This window comes from Homo sapiens, chromosome 16 (genome assembly GCF_000001405.40).
Source record: "Homo sapiens chromosome 16, GRCh38.p14 Primary Assembly".
Classification (NCBI taxonomy): Eukaryota; Metazoa; Chordata; class Mammalia; order Primates; family Hominidae; genus Homo; species Homo sapiens.
The window spans coordinates 29,594,485-29,616,982 of NC_000016.10; the positions used below are offsets into that span (position 1 = coordinate 29,594,485).

The 22,498-nt window shown below is 54.6% G+C and overlaps 1 long non-coding RNA gene, 1 other non-coding gene and 2 pseudogenes across 4 annotated transcripts in view, besides 9 other annotated features; 1 reads left to right on the forward strand and 3 right to left on the reverse strand.

Annotated features, from left to right (window-relative positions):
• Window positions 1–19,233, reverse strand: part of SMG1P2 (SMG1 pseudogene 2) — a 68,707-nt pseudogene extending 49,474 nt beyond the window's left edge. The window contains exon 1 of one of the 2 annotated variants that reach the window (NR_135317.1): window positions 18,619–19,233. The product of NR_135317.1 is annotated as an SMG1 pseudogene 2, transcript variant 1 (transcript). Of the gene's footprint in view, window positions 1–402; window positions 609–18,618 lie in introns of those variants that run through there. The other variant, NR_135305.1, reaches the window with a different exon arrangement.
• Window positions 828–1,217: a silencer, noted in NCBI's record as "silent region_7326". NCBI's record gives its function as "represses an Ori minimal core promoter by ATAC-STARR-seq in GM12878 lymphoblastoid cells {active_cell/tissue: GM12878}" and the evidence as "EXISTENCE:reporter gene assay evidence [ECO:0000049][PMID:35858748]".
• LOC105371168 (uncharacterized) lies at window positions 3,307–9,171 on the forward strand. Its single transcript, XR_950984.3, has 2 exons — window positions 3,307–3,338; window positions 7,904–9,171. It is a non-coding gene; the product is annotated as an uncharacterized LOC105371168 (long non-coding RNA).
• Window positions 4,695–4,781, reverse strand: MIR3680-2 (microRNA 3680-2). The gene has a single exon (NR_049833.1). It is a non-coding gene; the product is annotated as a microRNA 3680-2 (primary transcript).
• Window positions 11,010–11,731: an enhancer, noted in NCBI's record as "H3K4me1 hESC enhancer chr16:29616815-29617536 (GRCh37/hg19 assembly coordinates)". NCBI's record gives its function as "activates a minimal SCP1, AML or CMV promoter by ChIP-STARR-seq in naive H9 embryonic stem cells {active_cell/tissue: H9 hESC(naive)}" and the evidence as "EXISTENCE:reporter gene assay evidence [ECO:0000049][PMID:30033119]".
• Window positions 11,732–12,453: an enhancer, noted in NCBI's record as "H3K4me1 hESC enhancer chr16:29617537-29618258 (GRCh37/hg19 assembly coordinates)". NCBI's record gives its function as "activates a minimal SCP1, AML or CMV promoter by ChIP-STARR-seq in primed H9 embryonic stem cells {active_cell/tissue: H9 hESC(primed)}" and the evidence as "EXISTENCE:reporter gene assay evidence [ECO:0000049][PMID:30033119]".
• Window positions 12,152–12,392: a silencer, noted in NCBI's record as "fragment chr16:29617957-29618197 (GRCh37/hg19 assembly coordinates)". NCBI's record gives its function as "represses an EF-1alpha promoter that drives an FKBP-Casp9 reporter gene in an ReSE screen in HepG2 liver carcinoma cells {active_cell/tissue: HepG2}" and the evidence as "EXISTENCE:reporter gene assay evidence [ECO:0000049][PMID:32094911]".
• Window positions 12,570–12,799: an enhancer, noted in NCBI's record as "active region_10657". NCBI's record gives its function as "activates an Ori minimal core promoter by ATAC-STARR-seq in GM12878 lymphoblastoid cells {active_cell/tissue: GM12878}" and the evidence as "EXISTENCE:reporter gene assay evidence [ECO:0000049][PMID:35858748]".
• On the reverse strand, window positions 18,619–19,241 carry SLC7A5P1 (solute carrier family 7 member 5 pseudogene 1; annotated as a pseudogene).
• Window positions 19,052–19,131: a silencer, noted in NCBI's record as "silent region_7327". NCBI's record gives its function as "represses an Ori minimal core promoter by ATAC-STARR-seq in GM12878 lymphoblastoid cells {active_cell/tissue: GM12878}" and the evidence as "EXISTENCE:reporter gene assay evidence [ECO:0000049][PMID:35858748]".
• Window positions 19,172–19,461: a silencer, noted in NCBI's record as "silent region_7328". NCBI's record gives its function as "represses an Ori minimal core promoter by ATAC-STARR-seq in GM12878 lymphoblastoid cells {active_cell/tissue: GM12878}" and the evidence as "EXISTENCE:reporter gene assay evidence [ECO:0000049][PMID:35858748]".
• Window positions 19,601–20,286: an enhancer, noted in NCBI's record as "OCT4-NANOG-H3K27ac-H3K4me1 hESC enhancer chr16:29625406-29626091 (GRCh37/hg19 assembly coordinates)". NCBI's record gives its function as "activates a minimal SCP1, AML or CMV promoter by ChIP-STARR-seq in naive and primed H9 embryonic stem cells {active_cell/tissue: H9 hESC(naive and primed)}" and the evidence as "EXISTENCE:reporter gene assay evidence [ECO:0000049][PMID:30033119]".
• Window positions 20,287–20,971: an enhancer, noted in NCBI's record as "OCT4-NANOG-H3K27ac-H3K4me1 hESC enhancer chr16:29626092-29626776 (GRCh37/hg19 assembly coordinates)". NCBI's record gives its function as "activates a minimal SCP1, AML or CMV promoter by ChIP-STARR-seq in naive and primed H9 embryonic stem cells {active_cell/tissue: H9 hESC(naive and primed)}" and the evidence as "EXISTENCE:reporter gene assay evidence [ECO:0000049][PMID:30033119]".

Consider the following 22,498-nt stretch of genomic DNA (forward strand, 5'->3'; position numbering starts at 1 on the left):
TGAAAGACTGGGGAACCGAGAAAGTGAATGAGTAACAGGGAGGGTCCTGGACTCTCAGGATCTCCCAACTCGGGGTCAGGGGGAGGCGGTAAGTGGAATGCCCCCCCACCACCCCCGCCTCTTTCTCACCTCCTGGTCCCGACCCTAGGCCAGTGCCACCGCCGGGAGCCCCGGGTCTCGGCTTCAGCCCCAGGCTGAACATGCAGGGAGGGGAGAGGCACTTAGGCCTCGCCTCCCCGTGGCCTTCCTCCCCCAGCCGGGGCGGAGGAGAACCAGGAAGCCGCGCCCGGCTCCGGTGGGTGGAGGGCCTAGGCCGCGCCTCCCAGCCCCGCGGCCCTAGGCCTCGGCCCGCCCGAGGCGGAGCCCGGGAGGTCGGGGCGGGGTCCCGGGCCGGTCACCCACCTGGGTTGCCAGTCATTCCAGCTCCGCGAATAGTTGGTGCCGCCGCTGCTCAGCCGAGACCCCGGGGCTCTGCGGCTCATTACCTTCCCCGACACGACATGGCCAAGCGCCGCCGCCCAGAGAAGCGCGAGTCGCCGCCCGAACCGGCCGCTGCCGACACCCCGCTCCGGCCCGGGGCTGAGGAGGAAGCCGAGGAGGAGGAAGAGAAGGAGGAGGAGGAGGAGGAGGAGGAGGAGGCGGCGGCGGAGGGCGGGGTAAGAGGACGGCCGTTCCGGGTTCCGCCTGAGCCCGCAACGCAGAATGAGGAGGCGGGAGCGGCGCGGTGAGAGAGAGGCGGATGAAGGGGCGCCGACTTCTCTTCCAGGGCCATGCGCGGCCCACGACGCCGGGGCCCCGGAGGACGAGGACGACGAGGAGCAGGCGGTGGCGGCAGCTCCCCACGCTCACAAGGCCACTGCTTCCCCGCCTCCCGGCTCCGCCCGCCGCGCCGCCACTGTCGCACGGCATGCTGGGAGCGAGAGGCGGGGTCGGCCCCGCCGGGCCTGGGGAGAGAGGCGGGTCCTGTCGGCGGGGCGGGGCCGAGAGAGGCGGGGCCGATAGCAGGCCGCCCCGCCCCCCACGGCCCCAGGCTCTTGGACGGCGAAGAGGTCTGGGCGTAGTAGTGACGAATCCTAAGACAAGGGATCTCCACTACTGCGGCCACACACTTTTCTCCCAAACGCTTCCCGGAAAGCACCGGAGGGCTGGGCAGTCAGGTGTAAACAGGCGTCCAATCAAGGACCTGCAGTGTGGGTGGTGGGGGCTGGTGCCCTGGGGTGCGAGCGCACACAGGCGTGCCCTTGGTTTCACGTGCGCCAGTTTTCCCACTTTCTACGGGGGGGAGTGGAAAGTGAAAATAGTAAGATCGAGAGGTGGATATCCACCTTCCCAACCTCCACCTGAAATGTGCCCATCGAGTCCTAGCACCTTTTACCATTTCTTCCCAATGAAAAAAACTAAACGATGTAAGGGAAGGGAGTACCCACGACCACCAAACCCTGTCCTCTGCAATGTGAAATGTGCTTTGAAGTCCTCTCACCCTGAGGCTTGCCCGCCTTCTGCTGGTGAAAGAAGCTGGGGGCTAGGCGCGGTGGGTCACGCCTGTAATCCCAGCACTTTGGGAGGCCGAGGTGGGCGGATCATCTGAGGTGAGGAGTTCCAGACCAGCCTGGCCAACATGGAGAAACCCCGCCTCTACTAAAAATACAAAAATTAGCCGGGCATGGTGGAGGACGCCTGTAATCCCAGCTACTTGGGAGGCTGAGGCAGGGGAATCGCTTGAACCCAGTAGGCCGGGGTTGCAGTGAGCCGAGATCAGACCATTGCAGTCCAGCCTGGACAACAAGAGTGAAACTCTGTCTCAAAAAAATAAAAGAGAGAGAGAGAAAGCAGGGAGGGAAGAAAAAGGAAGGAAGGAAAGGAGGGAGGGAGGGAAGGAGGGAGGAAGGAAGGAAAGGAGGGAGGAAGGAAGGAAGGAAAGGAGGGAGGAAAGGAAAGGAAAGGAGAAAAGAAAGAGAAGGCCGGGCGCGGTAGATCACGCCTGTAATCCCAGCACTTTGGGAGGCCGAGGCGGGCAGATCTCGAGGTCAGGAGATCGAGACCATCCTGGCTAACACGGTGAAACCCCGTCTCTACTAAAAAATACAAAAAATTAGCTGGGCGTGGTGGCGGGCGCCTGTAGTCCCAGCTACTCCGGAGGCTGAGGCAGGAGAATAGCGTGAACCCGGGAGGCGGAGCTCCCAGTGAGCAGAGATCGCTCCACTGCACTCCAGCCTGGGCGACAGAGCAAGACTCCGTCTCCAAAAAAAAAAAAAAAAAAAAAAAGAGAATCAGCTGGGTAGAGGAGACGTACCTGACCATCTACCCCATGACATGTCCCATGCCCCAGGGAAAAAAATTCCCTAAACCATCTGATGCATAAAGTGAATGCATACACATTTTTTAAAAGGTGGGCCAGGATGCTCCTTAAACAAGTGTCTAAACCTTATCTGCATAAGGAGTCTTAACCTATCATTTTATGTTGCAAAGAAAACGTCTTTATATATCGCTTGTGCAATTAAAAATTGTAACCAAAAGTACTTGAAGATTATGAGGAGTTGACACCTCCACACACATGCATATCCCCTCCACCTTGGGCTCCTTGCTTATGGCCACCAATCCCTCACTAAGGGAGGATCCTGCCAGTTCTAAATGATGGGGACTACAAAAATTACCCGGCGTGGTAGCGCGTGCCTGTGGTCCCAGGAACTCAGGAGGGTGAGGCAGGAGGATGACTTGAGTCCAGCAGGTGGAGGCTGCAGTGACCTATGATCCCACCACTGCACTCCAGCCTGGGCTGCGGAGGGTAGGGAGGGAGGGAGGAGAAGAAAGAGAAAAGGCAGGGCACCATGGATGGCTGACTCCTGTAATCCCAGCACTTTGGGAGGCCGAGGTGGGTGGATCACTTGAGGTCAAGAGACCAGCCTGACAAACATGGTGAAACCCCGTTTCTACAAAAAAATACAAAAATTAGCCAGGCATGGTGGCGCACACCTGTAGTCCCAGCTATTTGGGGAAGCTGAGGCATGAGGATTGCTTGAACCCGGGAGCCAGAGGTTGCAGTGAGCCGAGATCGTGCCACTGAACTCCAGCCTGGGTGACAGAGCAAGACTGTCTCAAAAAAAAAAAAATCATTTAGGTGAAGTGATTCATGCCTGTAATTACAGTGATGGGAGGCTGAGACTGGAAGATCCTTGAGCCTGGGAGTTATAGGCCAGCCTGAGCAACATAGTGAGACCCCCATCTCTACAAAAAAAAATTAAATTTTTTTTTTTCAGACGGAGTTTCACTCTTGTGGCCCAGGCTGGAGTGCAATGGTGTGATCTCAGCTCACTGCAACCTCTGCCTTCCAGGTTCAAGTGAGTCTCCTGCCTCAGCCTCCCAAGTAGCTGAGATTACAGGCACATGCCACCATGCCTGGCTAATTTTGTATAAAAATTTAAAAAATTTTAAAATTAGACAAGTTAGAAATTGCTTGAGCAACTGGACACAATCTCTGGTACTACCTTTCTTTTTCTTTTTTATTTTTTTATTTTATTATTATTATTTCTTGAGAAGGAGTCTCGCTCTGTCGCCCAGGCTAGAGTGCAGTGGCGCAATCTTGGCTCACTGCAAGCTCTGCCTCCCGGGTTCAAGCCATTCTCCCGCCTCAGCCTCCCGAGTAGCTGGGATTACAGGCGCCCGCCACCAAGCCCGGCTAATTTTGTTTTTTGTATTTTTAGTGGAGACAGGGTTTCACCGTGTTAGCCAGGATGGTCTCAATCTCCTGACCTCGTGATCCACCCGCCTCGGCCTCCCAAAGTGATGGGATTACAGGCGTGAGCCACCGCGCCTGGCCCTCTTTTTCTTTATTGGTCAAAATATTATCCAACTAGGCATATGGATGTGGAGGCATGCCTGTGATCCCAATTACTTGGGAGGCTGAGGTGGGAGAATCGCTTGAGCCCACGAGTTTCAGGCTGTGGTGAGCCATAATGGTGCCGCTGCACTCCAGCCTGGGCAACAGGATGAGACCATTTCTTAAGGGGACGGAAAAAATCACTCTGGCTGTGGCAGATTTCCTTAGGATAGATTCCGAGAAGTGGAGTTATTGGGGAAAAGGCTGTTAATGATTTTAAGTCTTTGGATACAGACTGTTAAGTTGCTTTCCAGGAAGTTTCTGCCAATGATAGTCTGATACTTTCTGTGTCCTCACACCACCCTTTGTCAACACTGAGTGTTTTTTGAGGGTTAATTATTTCTATGGGAGAAGTTAAAAAAAAAAAAAAGACAACAAAGAAATTGCTTCAGGTGGGGCATGCTGGCTCACGCCTGTAATCCCAGCACTTTGGGAGGCTGAGATGAGAGAATCACTTAAGCCTAGGAGGTGGAGGTTGCAGTGAGCCTAGATCGTGCCACTACACTCCAGCCTGGGCAACAGAGTGAGACTCCATTTCAATAAAATTAATCAAATGAATCAAACGTGAGCAACTCTCATAACTTCCAACATTTTTTTCTTCTTCCTGTTGGTGGTTCTGCCTCTCTGGCTCCATTAGGATTTCCCTACTCCATTTCAGTCATGGGAACCGAGTTTCTGTTCCTGAAACACACCAAGCCTTTCTGGCCTCTGGATTTTTGTACTTGCTGTTCCCGCCATCTGGAATGCCTTCCCTGCATTTGTTCCCATCAGGGTTGGGACTAGCAAAGTGACAGGGGATGGAGTTGCTGAGGGTGCAAAATTTAAGGAGGCACCTACTCCCAGGGTCATGCAAAAGCCAACTTTGCATTTGCACAATCCTGTGAGTGAGTCCCTCCTTAAATTTGAGGCTGTACTGTAATCCCAGCTACTCAGGAAGCTGGGGCAGGAGAATTGCTTGAACCTGGGAGGCAGAGGTTGCAGTGGGCCGAGATCCTGCCTTTGCACTCCAGCCTGGGCAACAGGGCGAGAATCCGTCTAAAAAAATGAGGCTCTAGACACCACATTTGCCCTACTCTGGCCCCTGCCCTGATTTTCCTGGCCTGTCTCATCTCCAGACAGGTTTGCTTTGACCTCCCTGCCCATAAAAGTTGGCCAGTGCCCTTTCCAGGTACTCTGTCATATACCCTATTTCTTTCCTTGGTAGTACCCAGCACCATCTGCAAGTATTGGGTTTCTTTGCACATTTAGCATCTGTCCAACCCTTAGGATATCAGCTTTGCAAGAGCAAAGGTCACGTCTATCTCAGCCTACCTCCTCCATACTCAGCACACAGCACAGCACCTGACCATAGGAAGCACGCAAGAAATGGGAGGAATGAAATGGAAATTATCTAAAATAAGGATCAAGATTGATACAGAAGTATTCATCTCAGCTTTACTTATTAATAGCAAAACAAAAACAAAACACCTGGATATTATACTAATTCTCAACAATAGGAAACTGATTAGGATGCAGTACATTCAGAGCTGAAATTTTCTGCAGCCATTACAAATTACATTTGTGAAGATTTTTTTTTTTTTTTTTTTTTTTTTTTTTGAGACGGAGTTCTGCTCTTGTTGCCCAGGCTGGAGGGCAATGTCTCGATCTCGGCTCACTGCACCCTCCGCCTCCTGGGTTCAAGCAATTGGTCTGTCATTTTCAGACCCAACAGAAACAGAGGTGCTCCTGCCAGGCCCCCGGGGACTGCCTCCAGGAGTCATTTGTAATGACAGGGTGCGTTCTGCGCACAGTTTCAGAGTCTGTCCAAAGGGCCAATGCTGGGGCTGGGCAGAAACGATCCAAGGCCTGTGAGCTGTGCAGCTTTATAGGCAAATGAAGATCGTTTACCCAGAATTGCCTGCTGGAGACAGCATAGAGGAAGTGGCGGCAACTTCACCAGTTCCAGGAAGCCCAGGCAGCCTGGTCCCCCAGGGTGCACCTGGCACAGCAGTTCGCATGGGGCCAGAGAGCGGCAGCTGACCGCTGCAACTACAGCTGGCCTGACACCGGGCACAGGTACCAGCCCAGCCCAGTCCCGCCCAGCGCAGCCTGCGGCCCCTAGCCGAACCAGCACCTGGCAAACCTGACACCCAGCCTTGGAGCTTGGGCCCCCCTCTGCAGCTGGCTGGGGCTCCTGAGACAGCTTCTTTGTCGGAATCCACTCAGTACACACACGGTCCCAAACTTAGTGGCTGCCCAGTGAACATGGGGCTTAGTAGAACCAGTACCTTCCTCCCTGGCCCCTTCAAGTCTAAATATCCCCTGCTCTGAGTACAAGCCTCCACCTTCTCCACTGATAGACAGCCCCCACCATCTCCACCGACAGACAGCCCCCACCTTCTCCACCGACAGACAGCCCCCGCCATCTTCACCGACAGACAGCCCCCACCATCTCCACCGGCAGACAGCCCCCACCATCTCCACTGACAGACAGCCCCCACCTTCTCCACCGACAGACAGCCCCCACCATCTTCACCGACAGACAGCCCCCACCATCTCCACCAATAGACAGCGCCCACCTTCTCCACTGATAGACAGCCCCCACCATCTCCCGTGTCATCCCCTGGGGGGACTTGTAAAAGCAGTGGTCGGGGAGCGGGATGGAAACCCAGAGCTTCTGATCAGGCAGGTCGGGGGAGAGGGAGACAACACATCTGCACAGAACAAGGTCCCAGGGAGGCCGGCGCTGCTGGTCCAGGGAGCACCCCCCAGCACAGGCGCGTGCTTCCCTGATGGACACGTCACCACCCCTGGGCTCCAGAAAATGAATGTCTGACCCAGTGACCCCTGTCCTCACCCAAGGCCAACCTCACCCCAGAATGGGCTGGAATGCTGAGCCTGCCCATGCCAGCTCCAGATCCACCCACCTCCCCACCATTGCTGGCCACAGAGAGAGGTCAAAGTGGTCCAGAAACCCCAAGGAAAATGAAGCAGTTCCGGGGCAGGGAAGCAAAGGCAGTGTTTCCATTTTTTTTTTTTTTTTTTTTTTTTTTTTTTGAGACAAAGTCTCGCTCTTGTCGCCCAGGCTGGAGTGCAATGGTGCGATCTTGGCTCACTGCAACCTCCACCTCCTGAGTTCAAGCCATTCTCTCACCTCTACCTCCCGAGTAGCTGCAGCCTCTGCCTCCGGGGATCAAGTGATTCTCCTGCCCCCTGCCTCAGCCTCCTGCCTCAGTAGCTGGGATTACCGACACCTGCCACCACGCCCGCCTAATTTTTGTATTTTTAGTAGAGACAAGGGTTCACCATGTTGGCCGGGCTGGTCTCGAACTCCTGACCTCAGGCGATCCGCCAACCTTGGCCTCCCGAAGTGTTGGGATTACAGGCGTGAGCCACCGTGCCTGGCCAGGATGGTCTGCTTATAATGGCTCAATTTTGATGTCCAGTCTCTGCAGAGCACAAGGCCCCCGCTTTGGGCCAGACATACAGATGTCCCTGGGCAAGAACAGAGATGATCCCAAGGCCCTGGCCCCACCTGTCTGCTCAGTGTTGAATCAGGTTTCTGTGAAAACAAATTACTAACAGGCTGGTGTCACATTTTCAAATTCTGTCACCAGCCGTTGAACACATGTCTTTGTACTTTTTTCCATTTTTAACCGGGGCTGAGTTACGCCCAACCACACTGTCCTGGCTGGCACGGGGGAGGAGGTGTCAGCTGCTGTCCAGAATGGGGCTGACACATTCATTTTAAACAGGCCAGGAAGATGCAGATTTGGCAAGCTCTGAAATTTGCCGACACCCCAAGTCAAGGGTAAGCAGGAGAACCGGAAAAGGGCAGCTTCTCATGTAGTCAGGTTCTCCTGATGCAAGCGTCCTGGTGGATTTGGGTTTCCCAAGGGTCCTGACTCCAGGAGACCCCCAGGACCGACAGGAAGGGCCACCCCTCCCTCTGAAACTCTGAAGCCAGGCCACCCAGTGCTGAAATGCTGTGTGAACTCGGGCAAGTTCCTTTGCAGGGACTGAGCCTCCCTTTCATGTCTCCAACAGACTGGAACACTGCCTCCCGTTGCATGGGCGAAATACCTCGCGGACATGTCTTACGGCGCCCCATGAAAGCATCACCATTAATCTGACCAGTCACTGCAGCATGAGTATCTTCAGGGCACAGATGAAGCCATGGGCACCAGTGATAAGGAGTTGCCACTGCTGGCTAAGTGCGGAGCCTCACACATCTGTGGCCCAGAAACCCATACCCCACTCCAAACCCTCTATAGCTCCAACAGTTATGCTAACAAGAAAAAGGAGTGAAAACCCGCTCCAGTCACGGTATTGTGGAGGTGGAAGGACACTTGTGGCAGCCAATCCAACACCTCCATTTTATAGCTGGGGTAAACATAGTTCAGAGAGGTTGTCCCACTTGCTGAAAGTCACACAGCAGTTCCTGGGCGGCAAAGTGAGGACATCCAGGTCTCCTAAATCTCACCCTCGTGCTCTGCCCACTTAACTAGGCTTTTCAATCCTGGCTGTCAAAGAGAAGCACCAAGTCCACTTGGGCTCCTGGCCAGCATCCAGGCCAGTCCAACTCAACAGCAAGCGGAAGCAAATACCACACAATGAACTTGTTGAACAGACTCTGTGCTCAGGCTTAACCAGTGCACAGCCTGTACACCCGACAGGCGGATGCAGCTGTTCCAAACTAAGGCCAGGGCCTCTCCCCAATCCCGATGGGCTCTGCAGGTGCAGTGATGGAAGAATCCCTGGTGACGGGGAGCCCTTAGCTCTGAGCAGGACCTGAAGCCATCTCAGGGCTTGCACCGGTCCAGATGCTGCTGCACAAGTGCTCCAGGGGCTCCTGCCCTGCCCTCCTCACTTGCCCCCTCACCTGTCAGGGATGTTTGATTCCTGGCTGGCCCCTCCCCTACCTGACCCCTGCCAAAGACCTACGCCACCCCAGGCTCCCAGCTCTGAAGCAAACAACCAGAGAAGTCAAGCGCCTGGCTCCGGGCCACACAGCTTGAGGGACTCAGAGCTCCAGGGACAGTGCCCGGGCCCTGCTCAGGCCTTCTGCAGAGGCTCTGGGCTCTTCCAGTTGACTCAGCTCACAGGGCCCCTACACAGTACCAGGTGAAGACACAGCCCCAAGAACCCTCAGGGTCTGAAGCCACACATGTGAGCCGTGGGCAGAATCCTGCATTGGCCTCCAGCAGCTCGAGAGCACAGGGACAAAGCTGGACTGGCCCCGGGGTCACCGTGGCCTTGGTTTTGTAGCAGCTGCAGTTTGAGCACGTACACCAAAAATAAAATTCTAAGCCCCGTAACTGACTGAAGGGACCACTCCTATTGGCCAAAGGGATATTCCAAAGTTAACCTGAAAAACGAGCTCAGGTCATGATGGGAAGAGGGGTCACACAGGCCTTGTTATACCCCCTCCCTCTGGAATTCAGGTACAGCTGACCAGCACTAACATTCAAACACAGATCTTGGCCTGGCTCAGTGACTCATGCCTGTAATCCCAGCACTTTGGGAGGCTGAGGTGGGCAGATCATGAGGTCAGGAGTTCGAGACCAGCCCGACCAACATGGAGAAACCCCATCTCTACTAAAAATACAAAATTAGCCAGGCATGGTGGCGGCAGGCACCTGCAATCCCAGCTACTTGGGAGGCTGAGGCAGGAGAATCTCTTGAACCCGGTTGCAGTGAGCCGAGATCATGCCACTGCACTCCAGCCTGGGTGACAAAAACAAAACAAAACAAAACACAATATTGGTCTCCACAACCTCCTGTCTTACCCAGATACTCCTTTCTATTGATTCCAGGTCTTTAGCTAATAACTCTTTCAACCAATTGTGAATCAGAAAATATTTTGCCAGGCACGGTGGCTCATGCCTGTAATCCCAGCACTTTGGGAAGCCAAGGTGGGTGGATCACCTGAGATCAGGAGTTCAAAACCAGCCTGACCAACATGGTGAAACCCCCGTCTCTACTAAAAACACAAAATTAGCTGGGCATGGTGGTGCATGCCTGTAGTCCCAGCTACTCAGGAAGCTAAGGCAGGAGAATCACTTGAACCCAGGAGGCGGAGGTTGCAATGAACTGAGATCATGCCACTGCACTCCAGCCTGAGTAACAAAAGCATCTCAAAAAAAAAAATATATATATATGTATATATATGTGTATATATATGTATATGTGTATATATATGTGTATATATGTGTATATATATGTGTGTATACATATATATATATATATAAAAAGAAAAAAGAAATCTTTGAACCCACTTGTGACCAGGAAGCCCATCCCTGCCTTGGAGTTGTCCCGCCTTTCTTGGCAGAACCAACAAATACCTTTCATGTACTGACTGATGTCTGCCTGTAACTTCTGTCCTTGTACAAGGTATGAACTCCAGCTGTGGCCCAGCCCCTGGGGCACATGTCCTCAGGGCCTCCAGGCCTTGGTCCTCACATTTGACTCCGGATAAACCTCTTCAAATATTTTACAGACTCTGGCTTTCTCGTTAACAAGCAGCTCACACATATAGTGTCTCAGCAGTGACAGATGCTGGCCCACCCCGAGGTCAGGATGACTCAGCAGGGATTGAGTTTGCGGGCGTCATGCTCCAAGGCCCGGAATAGGAGGTTGGTGCTCATTCCTCACATAGTGGGCAAATCCTAGGGCAGGGGAGGGGGGGCAATGCCAGAGAATGGTCCCCACCTGGGGCGGTCTGACGGCCAGAGATGCAGAGAAAGAGACGCCTCCCACGCTCCTGGAGGGCAGGTGCTGTGGCCACCCCGGAGGGTCCGCCTTCCAGAGGGAGAGTTCAGGATTTGGCCACAATCAGGGAAGGAGGCACTGGGGGGGGGCCCTCCTGTTGGAAAAGGGCAGCGGCAGGAAGGGGGTGCTGCCACAGGGCCTCTGGGGAGCGCGCGGGCACACAGTACCAATCTGCGTGCATACACATGCCCTGTCCCTGCAGATGGGCCACGCAAGGCCTGCCCATGGCCAGCCATCCAGGTGATGCTCCAGGGAGGGCCAGGCCTACTTGGGGGCAGAACCCTGTGGCTGTCCAGGATACCTGGATGTGAGTCTGGGAAGGATGGAGAAGGGTGGAGGAGTGCGAAGGGCCCCTAGGGGTTGCTGGGGAACACAGATGAGCCTCTGACCCACCTGTGTCCTTACCTGGGCCGACTGGGCCACCCAGTCTTGCTGACACCTCCCCAGACCCCTGGCACCCACCAGACTCCCCAGGCGTGGCTGTGTGCTCCGCTATGCCTGATGACAAACAGTGGCCTCAGTGTAGAGGTGGGCACTGTGGCCCCTGGCTCCTGGCTCGCTCCTGCCTCAGTTTCCCCAGCTCTAAATTGGGGATTATCACTGGCTTCAAAGGCTGGAGTGGAAAGTGGTGGCCAAGAGGTGCCAAGAGGTGGTGCAAGCATGTGCCCTACCTTGGACACCCCTCTACAGGGGGTGGCTCTCACCCTGGCCTGGGCCCTCGGGGGTCTGCGCAGCCCACTCTTCTGTGTGAAGGCGGCTGGTACACTTTCCTGGGCAAGATTCTGCACATTCTGCTGGATTATGAAAGAGGTCTGTGACCCAAGAAAAAAGGGTCAGAAGTGCCCGTTAGGCTCTCCTGTGTGGCTCAGGTCATGTGCTTCTGTGAACTCCCCCTACGGCCTTGCCCCGAATCCCGTGATGCAGCGTGACCTGCCCAGGCGCCGGCGGCACTTTCATGTCTGGCTGGGAAAGTCGGATTTCAGCACTAATCACTGGCTGCCGCCTGCAATGAGCCCACGGCTTGAGCTCTGGGGCCCACCCAGCTCCTTAAACATGCAGAACCTTTGCTAGCTGAGCCAGGGTCCCAGCTGTGCGGGGTTGGGGATGGAGGGGTGCAGGGATCCCAAAACCCAACCCGGGGCCAGGTTTTACACAGGCCTGGACTGAGAAGTGGGGCTACAGGCTACAGGTGCTTGATACCCTGGGGGGGCCCTGGAACAGGCCTGGACTGAGAAGCGGGGCTACAGGTTACAGGTGCTGGATACCCCAGGGGGGTGCTGGACACCCCAGGGGGGCAGATAGAGGCAGCCAGGCAGCCTGAAGACCCTGGGGCAAAACACACACAGGCCCCCTCTGCTCTCTGGTCACTGCTAACTGGCCAACTGGCCTTTGAGTCCACTGACCACAGCTAAGCCCACAGCCATCAAAACCCACCCCTTACACCCTTCACCCTTTAGGGAGGGGCTCAGAGACAGTTGTGGCGATTCCTACTTCCACCCACAGCCCCCCGACCCTGGGCCTGTGCCGAGTGTGGGTGGGTGACATCATCTCGCACCCAGAGCTCCAGACTAAAGGAAACCCTGGCTCCTGTCTCTGGCTCTTCCCTCCCTCTCTTTGTTCCCTTGCTCCTTCCTTCTTTTTGCCAAAGGAGAAGATAGTGAGGCTGAGGGCTGCTCAACGTGCACAGTGAGCAGGAGATACAAGCATGTGGAGGGACGGTCACAGCCCATGCAACTGGCACCTTCACACGCGGAGGCCTGCGATTCCCAGACACCTGGCGCTGGGGCAAATCCCATTCCACAGCCAGAAACAGGCTCGGCGGGGCCAGGTGGATTTCTCAAAGCCTTGGTTGCTTTTGGCCTGATGCTAGCTGGACAATGTCTCAGCTCACAGGTTCCTAAACGCACACCCGCCCACACCAATCTGCTGAGGAGTGACAGCCATGGGGAGGAGACCCACCTCACTCCAGGGACCCTGGCACCGTCTCCCATGAGGCCAGGTGTCCTCAGCCACCCGCAGCCAGAGTCCCGCGAGACCGACGGACGGCCTGCCCCTGCGTGACGGCACGCCTGGGACTGTCCCAGCAGGCTCCCATGCTTCACCCAACTGCGACAGGGAAACAGGAGGGGGCTACTTCTGCTTTCAAGGCATGGAGGAGCTGTCTGCAGGCCACTTCCCGAACACCTATGCGCTTGGGGAACTGACTGAGACTGAGCCGGGGTATCTTCTCCACGATGCGGTGAGCCCATCAGGCCCTTCTTCTGAGAGCACCTCCCTGGAGGTGGAAGCCCCTGAGGCCCACAGCATCTTCTGAACCTGTGAGCTCCCACTTATTTACTGAGAGCTCACCTGGGCCAGTGCCGGTCCACGGCTGTGGCCGGGACTTTGAGTAGATGCTACCCTACTTGCTATGCAGAGCCAGCTGGGGCCCAGGGAGGTCAGATAACTGCCCAAACCAAATCCAGGCCCAGCCAGAATCTCAACTCCAGCCTTTGCGCCTTCTGATAAAACCCAGCATCGCTTGAATTTCCAGTACACGCTGCCAAGTCTTCGTTAAGCAATAAATAACCCACACAACCCTACTGTCATGACAAGTTCCATATGGCCATCCAGAAAGAGACACATAGAGCTGGTTCCTCTCACCTTTATGACCAGTGAAAAGCGCACCAACACGAAGACACGCGTGAAAGGACCTCATCTCCTAACCAGACTGACAAGCAAGGGATTTTTTCCACTCACCGTCAGTGGGATGGTTCTAAGCACCGAGGCCAACCCATTTCACACGATTATTTCACAAAAAGAAACTTTCTGTGGGACGTGCCTGGGCTACTGAAAAGACAGCCAGCAAAACTGAGAACCTTGTTCTCAAATCCGTACCCTCTCCCAAAGCAGCCTCAGAGGCCCGAGGGCTGAGGATCCAGACCCGAAAGCCACTGTACCTTCTGTAGGATCAGGCTCAAGGACTAAGGGGGTAAAAGGTGCCCTTTCCCTTCCTAAGCAGAAAATTCTGGAACCCAACCTTACGTGTGATCATTTAAAAAAAAAAAAAAATCAGCTGGGTACACTGGCTCACACCTGTAATCCCAGCACTTTGGGAGGCCGAGGTGGGCGGATCACCTGAGGTCAGGAGTTCGAGACCAGTCTGGCCAACATGGAGAAACCCTGTCTCTACTAAAAAATGCAAAATTAACCAGGCATGGTGGTGCATGCCTGTAATCCCAGCTACTCGGGAGGCTGAGGCAGGAGAGTCGCTTGAACCCGGGAGGCAGAGTTTGCAGTGAGCCGAGATCATGCCATTGCACTCCAGCCTGGGCAAAAAGAGCGAAATTCCGTCTCAAAATAAATAAATAAATAAATAAATAAATAAATAAATAAATAAATAAAATCACTTTCTATGGCTTTTCACTGCTCCAGGAACAATGTCCACAGATAAAACGCCCAGCCTCTCCTTCACACCCTGGAGCGCCCATCCTGCCCACTGGTCCGGGCTCCAGGCTGCCCCCTGCACCTGTCAGAAGTCCCCCTACAAGGGCAGGGTCTCCCTTCCTGGGACATCCACTGCCCTTCTCCGAGCTGAAGTCAGAACGACCTGAGAATCAGCTTGGAGTTCTACCAGCCTCAGCCAAGCCCACCTCTGCGACAGCACTCCTTTCGAGGGGGCACCAGCTGCAGGGAGTCTGTCCCTTACAGACCCGTGACCCCGTGACAGATGAATAAAGTACAGACACACAGATATTCTGCTCTGCCAGTCCAGCTGAGGGTCCCAGCCGCTTATAGGCTCCCTGCTGAGTCCTGTAAACAGTTGCTACTTGGCCCTGATCAGCTAGTCAGACGCGCATTTATTCAGTATGATTAATTAACAAAAGCTTGAGTCAACACCATTAGAGTGTAACAGACATTGTGGACTTCCCGAGTAAAAAGCATTTAAGCACCCAGGGTCTTAAGATTATATGAGTAAACAAGCTAGCTAGGTAAACTACTCTGCCTTTCTTTTATTTCTATGTTTATTTGTTTAACTAAAGGTAAAGGGATCAGGCCGCCTTCAGCCAGAGCTAATTACCAAAGTTATGCCAACTTCTCGGCCTTCCAAGATTTGTGTCTATTTCTATAACTATCTCTAATATCTTTCCCACCAGAATGATTGAACCCCAACACACCTCCGTCTCTCAGCAGGGTCTGCCTGTTCAGAGAACACAACTTCTCCTTCTTGCCTTACACACAGGGGCAAGAATAGGTTCACCCTTGCAGAGAGCACATCCCTTTCTGTTACTGAAAATCACTTTCCAAAAAAAAAAAAAAAAAAAGCAACACATACACACATACTCACCACATACACAGGTGGGTCAGAGAAAAAAAACAAGTACAAATGGCTTAGGGACATGAGAAGTGTGGCCCTAACTTTCGCTGAAAGGGATCCTATTAACATTAACCCTCACCTCTGGGTCAGAGAGGGTTGGCACTCTACAGCCTGCCTTGAGGCTTTACCTACTGGGACCAAAAGGACTGCTGGAAAGCTATTTTAGGCCGGGTGCGGTGGCTCAAGCCTGTAATCCCAGCACTTTGGGAGGCAGAGGCGGGTGGATCACCTGAGGTCAGGAGTTCAAGACAAGCCTGGCCAACATGGTGAAGCCCTGTCTCTGCTAAAAATACAAAAAATTAGCTGGGCATGGTGGGCACCTGTAGTCCCAGCTACTCGGGAGGCTGAGGCAGGAGAGTCGCTTGAACCCGGGAGGTGGAGGTTGTAGTGAGCCGAGATCACGCCATTGTACTCCAGCCTGGGTAAGAGCAAAACTCCATCTCAAACATAAAATAAAATAAAAATAAATAAATAAAAATACTTTTTAAAGCCCTATTACCACAAAATAAATCCAGGAACGTGTGACTTGGTACAGCCTCTTTGGAAGGCACATTAGCTATTACATTAGAATCCACACCCCGCCGGGTGCGATGGCTCATGCCTGTAATCCTAGCAAATTGGGAGGCTGAGGCACATGCCCGTAATCCTGCACAGGCAGGAGAATTGCTTAAAACCAGGAAGCAGAGGTTGCAGTGAGCAACGAGCCTGGGCGACAGAGACAGACTCTGTCTCAAAACAAAAACAAAAACAAAAAACAAAAAACCACATAACCTTTTCCCATTTGCACAAAGCTGGGAAACCCCAAATGCCCTCCACAGGGGTCTACGGGGGGTCAGGGGGTGGGGGCGGTGAGCACACTTGTTCCTGCCGACACAGGGAAGTCTTCTTAGCAGCTAAAGAGGGCAGCCTCTGCGTACCGCCTGGGAACATGGCAAAACCATTTTAGGCTTAAAAAAAAGGTGGAGAACAAGTTGTACATTATGATCTTTTAAATAAATAGGCCAGCGATATATTTGTAACAGAAGCAGCTCTGGAAGCGTACACTGTCAGCCACAGAAACTCTGGGGCTGGGGGGTGGTAAAGGAGGAGAAATGTGTCACCCAGGCAGGAGCTTAGTGGCACCATCTTGGCTCCCGAGTTCAAGCAGTTCTCCTGCCTCAGCCTCCGAGTAGCTGGGACTACAGGTGTGCGCCGTCACGCCCAGCTGATTTTTGCTTTTTTTTTTGAGACAGAGTTTCGCCTTGTTGCCCAAGCTGGAGTGCAGTGGTGCGATCTCAGCTCACTGCAACCTCCACCTCCTGGGTTCTAGTGATTCTCCTGCCTCAGCCTCCCGAGTAGCTGGGATTACAGGTATCTGCCACCACACCTGGCTAATTTTTTGTATTTTTAGTAGAGATGGGGTTTCACCATGTTGGCCAGGCTGGTCTCGAACTCCTGACTTCAGGTGATCCGCCTGCCTCGGCCTCCCAAAGTGCTGGGATTACAGGCATGAGCCACAGTGCCTGGCTGGTTTGAATTTTTAAATGATGATGAATTCATGTATGACTGATGTGATTTTTATTAGAAAGAGAAAACTAGGCAGCGCCCCATCCTATGTCTCCTTCCTGGTGGCCAATGAAGCATTTCCCACAACTCACTCCTGGCACCAACAGGAAGTCAGACACTCAGCACCCAGGGGCTGCTTTTTTTTTTTTTTTTTTTTTCTTTGAGACAGGCTTGCTCTGTCACCCAGGCTGGAGTGCAGTGGCAGGATCTCAACTCACTGCAACCTCCACGTCCCGGAGCATGCCTCAGACTCATAAGTAGCTGGGATTACAGGCGTGAGCCACTATGCTCAGCTAATTTTTGTATTTTTAGTAGAGATGGGGTTTCACCATGTTGGTCAGGCTGGTCTCGGACTCCTGACCTCGGTAGATCTGCCCATCTTGGCCTCCCATAGTGCTGGGATTATAGGCGTGGGCCATCACACCCAGCCAACAGGGATCCATTTTTTAAAGGTAAGAGTGCAGGCTGCATAAGCTATTATCCATGTCGTTACATACCAGGCGGACATGTACCTAGGCGGGAGGGAGACTGAACCAGTGAAATTCTAATGACAAAAAAAAGAAATCAGAGTCATCCCTTACATTCACATGTCCAACGCCCAGCTGGAAGCCACAGGCTCTCCCCACTCCTGTCCTACTACGATTTTTCCCGGCTTTGACCTGCATGGTGGTGCGGCTGCTCCGCTCAGAGCCTCAGAGAAACCACACAGAGCCCTGCTGAGTCTTGCCCTCGGGGCATTCTCACATTTATGAAGAAATGCCTCCCCCTCCCCCTTCTCCCCAAAGTACGGTGTGGCAGAAAACAGCGCCAACAGGTCCTGCCAGTCAGAAGCCACTCCCCTGATTTCATGGCTCAAGACCCCAACTGTAAATTAGCCCTTCCCACCTTGAATATGTACACACACTACTGAGATCCAGGCCGATCCTTGCCATGGGATGAACCTGAGAATTGCCAAGACCCGCCTTCCCACGCCACCCAACCAAATCATGTGGTATCTGGTACAAGTGATTTTCCCCCTGAAATCCCACAAGAAAACTATTTTGAGGCCGGGCACGGCGGCTCACGCCTGTAATCCCAGCACTTTGGGAGGCCGAGCCGGGCGGATCACAAGGTCAGGAGATCGAGACCATCCTGGCTAACACGGTGAAACCCCATCTCTACTAAAAATATAAAAAAAATTAGCCGGGCGTAGTGGCGGGCGCCTGTAGCCCCAGCTACTCGGAAGGCTGAGGCAGGAGAATGGCGTGAACCCGGGAGGCGGGGCTTGCAGTGAGCCGAGATCGCGCCACTGCACTCCAGCCAGGGCGACAGAGCAAGACTCCATCTCAAAAAAAAAAAAAAAAGAAAAGAAAAGAAAACTATTTTGAAAAGCAGTTCTCTCTGGCCTGGTGAAGAACACACCAGCACCATGCCCACCAAAACAGGAGCCCCATGGCTGTTTCCCAGAGTAACCTGGGACCCGCACGTCCATTCACTGCAACACAGACTGAATCTGCAGCCAAGCTCCGCTCTCTCACTACTGGGCAACCCTCAGGGGGGATCCCTTAGCCTAAACCAGCACCAGTCACTACCCGCACACGATTTTATTACTACTGTTTTCTTATGAGTCAGCCCGTGTCACTGATTCCTGACGAGCTGGTGTGGAGAGCAGAAATGAATAATTTTCTTTTCAACTGCAATTTCCTTTTCAACAACCAGTCAGCAATCGGAGCTTTAACAATAAACCGGTTGCTCAGTTACTCCACGTGGGTGCCACGCAAGAGGCTGGGAGTATTGCTCAGCGGGGCCAACGGGAGGCTGGCACTTGCCTGAACCGCTTAAGTGGGGGAATGAAATGCCCACCGAAGGGCAGGGCAGGGACCCTGCTGTCCCGTCACTGAAGATATTCCCAGCCCGTGGGGAGAAGTGTAAACGAATGAATGAAAGAAACGCACGTGGTTTCTGGGACCAATGACCTTAGCCTAGAACTGCCGGGACGGTCCAGGAACGCAAAAATGTAGAGATGTGGGAGCCAGGGGCGTAGTGATGCAAGGATGCAGGGACCCAGGGACCACGACCTCCCAACCCCCGGCCCGCGCCCCGTACTCACGCACGCAGTGGCAGGCCATGAGCTTGGCTGCCTCCTCGGGCACCGGGCAGCTGGGGAAGAGCGGCTTGAGCAGGTAGGTGGCGAAGACCAGGGCCACGATGTACTGCGATGAAGGCCGGATGACGAGCAGCTCGATCCAGAGCTTGAGGAAGGCGGGCAGCGAGCCGTAGACGTCCAGCATGTAGGCGTAGTCGCCGCCCGATTTGGAGATGGTGGTGCCCAGCTCCGCGTAGCAGAGCGCGCCCACGATGGAGAAGACGCCGCACGCGGCCCACATCACCAGCGCCAGCCCCGGCGAGCCTGCCTCCTTAAGCACGCCCGTGGGCGTCACGAAGATGCCCGAGCCGATGATGGCGCCCACGATGATGGCCACGCCGTTGAGTAGCGTGATGTTCCGCTGCAGGGTCACGCCCTCGCCCTCGCCTGCCGGCGCCGCGCCGTCCGCGCGCTTGGAGGCCAGCATCTTCTCCCGCGCCTCTTCCTTCTCCTCGGCCACCGGGGCCGCTAGCGCCCGCCGCTTCGGGCCCGCACCCGCCATGCTCTGCTTACCGGCCGGGCCTGGGACACCCGAGAGCCGCAGCCGAGCGAGGATTGTGCGCGCCGCTCGCCGCCCGCAGCTGCGTCAAGAACCCCGCCCGCGCCGCCTTTTAGGCCCCGGCCCGCTGGCCCCGCCCACCGTCCGCGGCTCCTCCCCGCCCCGTGGCCCGGCCGCGGCTCTCAGCCCCGCCCCCTCGACCCAGCTCGGAGCACGTGCGTCCTCCGGCCTAGCCTGGCAGGCGATTCCCAGGCCCGCGTGGTCCTCGAAGGCCCCCGTCCTCCTGCGCCATGGAGACCCCGGCCTCGCGACCTACCCCCCCGGCGCCCGCGTCATCCCACCCCGTCCTCCCGGGTGCGCCTGGGCGGGGCCTGGCAGTCAGGGCGAGCCCCTTCACCCACTGGCCCGCAGCCTCTCGTCAAGCCTGGGAGCGGGCAGTGCACCAGGGCTGGCCTGAGGCCAAGGATGGGGTTTGGGGTACCCCCCGAAGGGAACCTAGGCTCCTGTCCCGGATGGGCCTAGGGGATGGAACCGCCCCCACAACCAGCTCCTGGGGCACGGGGGAGGGATGAGAGGATGACCTGAGGGGAAGCTCCTGCAGCCTCCTTCCAGCCTGGGGGCTGCATCAATGTGGCTGGTGAGCCGCGAACTGAGACGAGGGAAGAACCGAACCGAGGCCACCCAGTAATTCCCATTGTATCCCAAAAGAATCTTGCCAAAGATGGCGATCCGGTGCCCGTAGCTTTGAGAAGCAGTAATAACACAGGCTTTGGGAAGCCAGCAATCTGCCTGAGCTCAATTTAATCAACAGAACCGGGGGTTCACCGGGAGCCATAAGACCCCCACCCCCAAATCTAGCTGGGGAATTCAAAGGCAGGCTTCAGTGTGAAGGGGCTTTAAAGCTTGTTATTCCTGGGGAATGCGAGAGGCATCTTAGCTAAAAAGGGTTGAGAGGTAATTTCAGTTAGAGGCGAGAGCAGGATGCCAAGGCTCCTAGGCCTGGAAACGGGAAGGAATATAAATACTGCCCCGAGATTGACCAGACTGGTGAGCAGCCAAAGACCTCTTCAAAGGGTGTGTGTGGGTCAGGGAGGAAGCTCCTCGGTATCACCCCCACCCGGGGTTCCTTGGCGTGTGTCCTAACGAGTCCTTGGAAGCTCACAGCAGGCATGTGGGGAGGCCTTTGTTCTGGGTGAGCGTTCAGCCTCCCAGGGCAAACACGCAAACACCGGTTGCAGAGCTGGGTGTTCACAGCAAGACAGTCTGCTGGGCAGATGCCTCTGGAATCCACAGAATCCTGAACAATAGCCGTGGTGGAGGGGGGGTCAGAATCCCTGTCATGCTGGGACCTCTAGCTGCAGCCAGGAATGTCCAGGCCCCACCCCGGGGAGGAGGCGGCTGAGGAATGCCACGGCTTGTCATTCTGGACCTTGCTCGCCCCCCGGTATGGCGGGCATTCCTCTGCAGTGATAAAACCAAGCGAAATCTCAGCAGCCCAGGCAGCCACCGGCAGGGGAGTGCGGAGGTCACACAGATACTAACTTGTAATCTGCCGTCCACGCTGCTGGCTGTGGAAGGTGCAGAGAGCCCTCCATCCGCCCTATTCTTCCCGCTGTGCCTGCAGAGGGAAGGAGACAGTACCACCATGGCTGGGCAAACTCACCGAGTGCTCACTGAGTCCTCCCCTAGATAGCTTCTTGTGCAATAGGGTAGGTGCCAGTTAGGAGCAAGGTTAGAGATTGTAGGGCCAGATTTTTTGCTTAGGTTCAACTACGCAAAATAAAAATAGACTTTGCATGCATTTCAGGCACTGGGCTGACGACCGGCCACCAGGGAGGCTCCGCCCCACTTCTTAGCTTTGGCCCCAACGTTAGTCTTGTTGCTGCTCTCAGGCGTGCTCTGCGTGTGAAAGATGACTTGGAGGCTGGGCGCGGTGGCTCACGCCTGTAATGCCAGCCCTTTGGGAGACCAAGGTGGGAAAATCTCTTGAGCCCAGGAGTTCAAGACCAGCCTGGGCAACATAGGGAGACCCCGTCTCTACAAAAAATACAAAAACTAGCCCAGCGTGGTGGTGGTGCACCTGTAGTCCCAGCTGCTGGGGAGGCTGAGGTAGAAGGATCACCTGAGCTGGGGAAGGTTGAGGCTGCAGTGAGCTGAGATCACACCACTGCACTCCAGCCTGGGTGACAAAGCAAGACTCCATCTCAAAAACAAAACAAAACAAAAAATAACAAAAAAAAAGAGGGTGAAAGGCAGCCCCAGAGTGGGAGAAGAGATTTGTAAAATGGACAAAGGCCTTATAATTGGAATATATAAAGAACTCCTAAAAATCACTAAGAAAACCACAGACAGCCCAAGAGAAAAATGGGCAAATGGCTCAAGTAGGTGTCTGGTGAAAGAGGATATGCAGATGGCCAATGAATCTGCACAAAGTGCTCCACATCATTAATCATTAGGGAAGTGCAAATTAAATCCACAGGAGACACCTGGGCACACCCTCCAGAAAGCACACAATGACCTGCTGGCAAGGACAGGAACGACCACTTTGGAAAACTCTTTGGCAGCACAGCCAAACTGAGCCTTTCCACTCGAAAATGCCCTTTGCTCAGAACCCAGCAGCAGCTCCAAAGTCTCCACCCAGCCTATCGGGCCCCAGTACCCACCCTTGCCTCCCATGCCTCTCTCCTCACCCCTGCACTTGGCTGCCTCACCCTCGGGCTGCACCTTGAACACCAGAAGGGCGCTCCTGCCTCCAGCCTCTGCCTGGAATTCTCTGCCCTCGGGTAGCCATGTGGTTCACTCCTCCTTTGGTCTCTGCCCAAATGGCCCCTGTAGAAGAGACCTCCCCACCCAGCCATGTCCTCTCCCTGTGACTTACCACCCCAGACTTTCTGTGTTGATGCATCGTGGTCTACCTCCTTCCGTCAGAACGTGAGCTCCGAGGCAAAGGCTCTTCAGACCTGAAACAGTCTAGGCTCTGTCCCCAGAGTCTAGAATAGAGCCTGCCATGTAATTGGCACTCAATAAATGTTACATGAATTAATGGAAACCATCCTGGCACGAGTGGTAGCTCTCTTTCCACCAAAAGAATGAGCTTGCCAAGAGAGAGAGACAACATCACGAAAGAGAGACAGAAAAGCCACACTCAGACCCAACTTTGAGTTCTGGATCAAGTCTTTTTTTTTTTTTTTTTTTTTGAGACAAAGTTTCGCTCTTGTTTCCCAGGCTGGAATGCAATGGCGCGATCTCGGCTCACTACAACCTCTGCCTCGCGGGTTCAAGCAATTCTCCTGCCTCAGCCTCCCGAGTAGCCGGGATTACAGGCATGCACCACCAAGCTCGGCT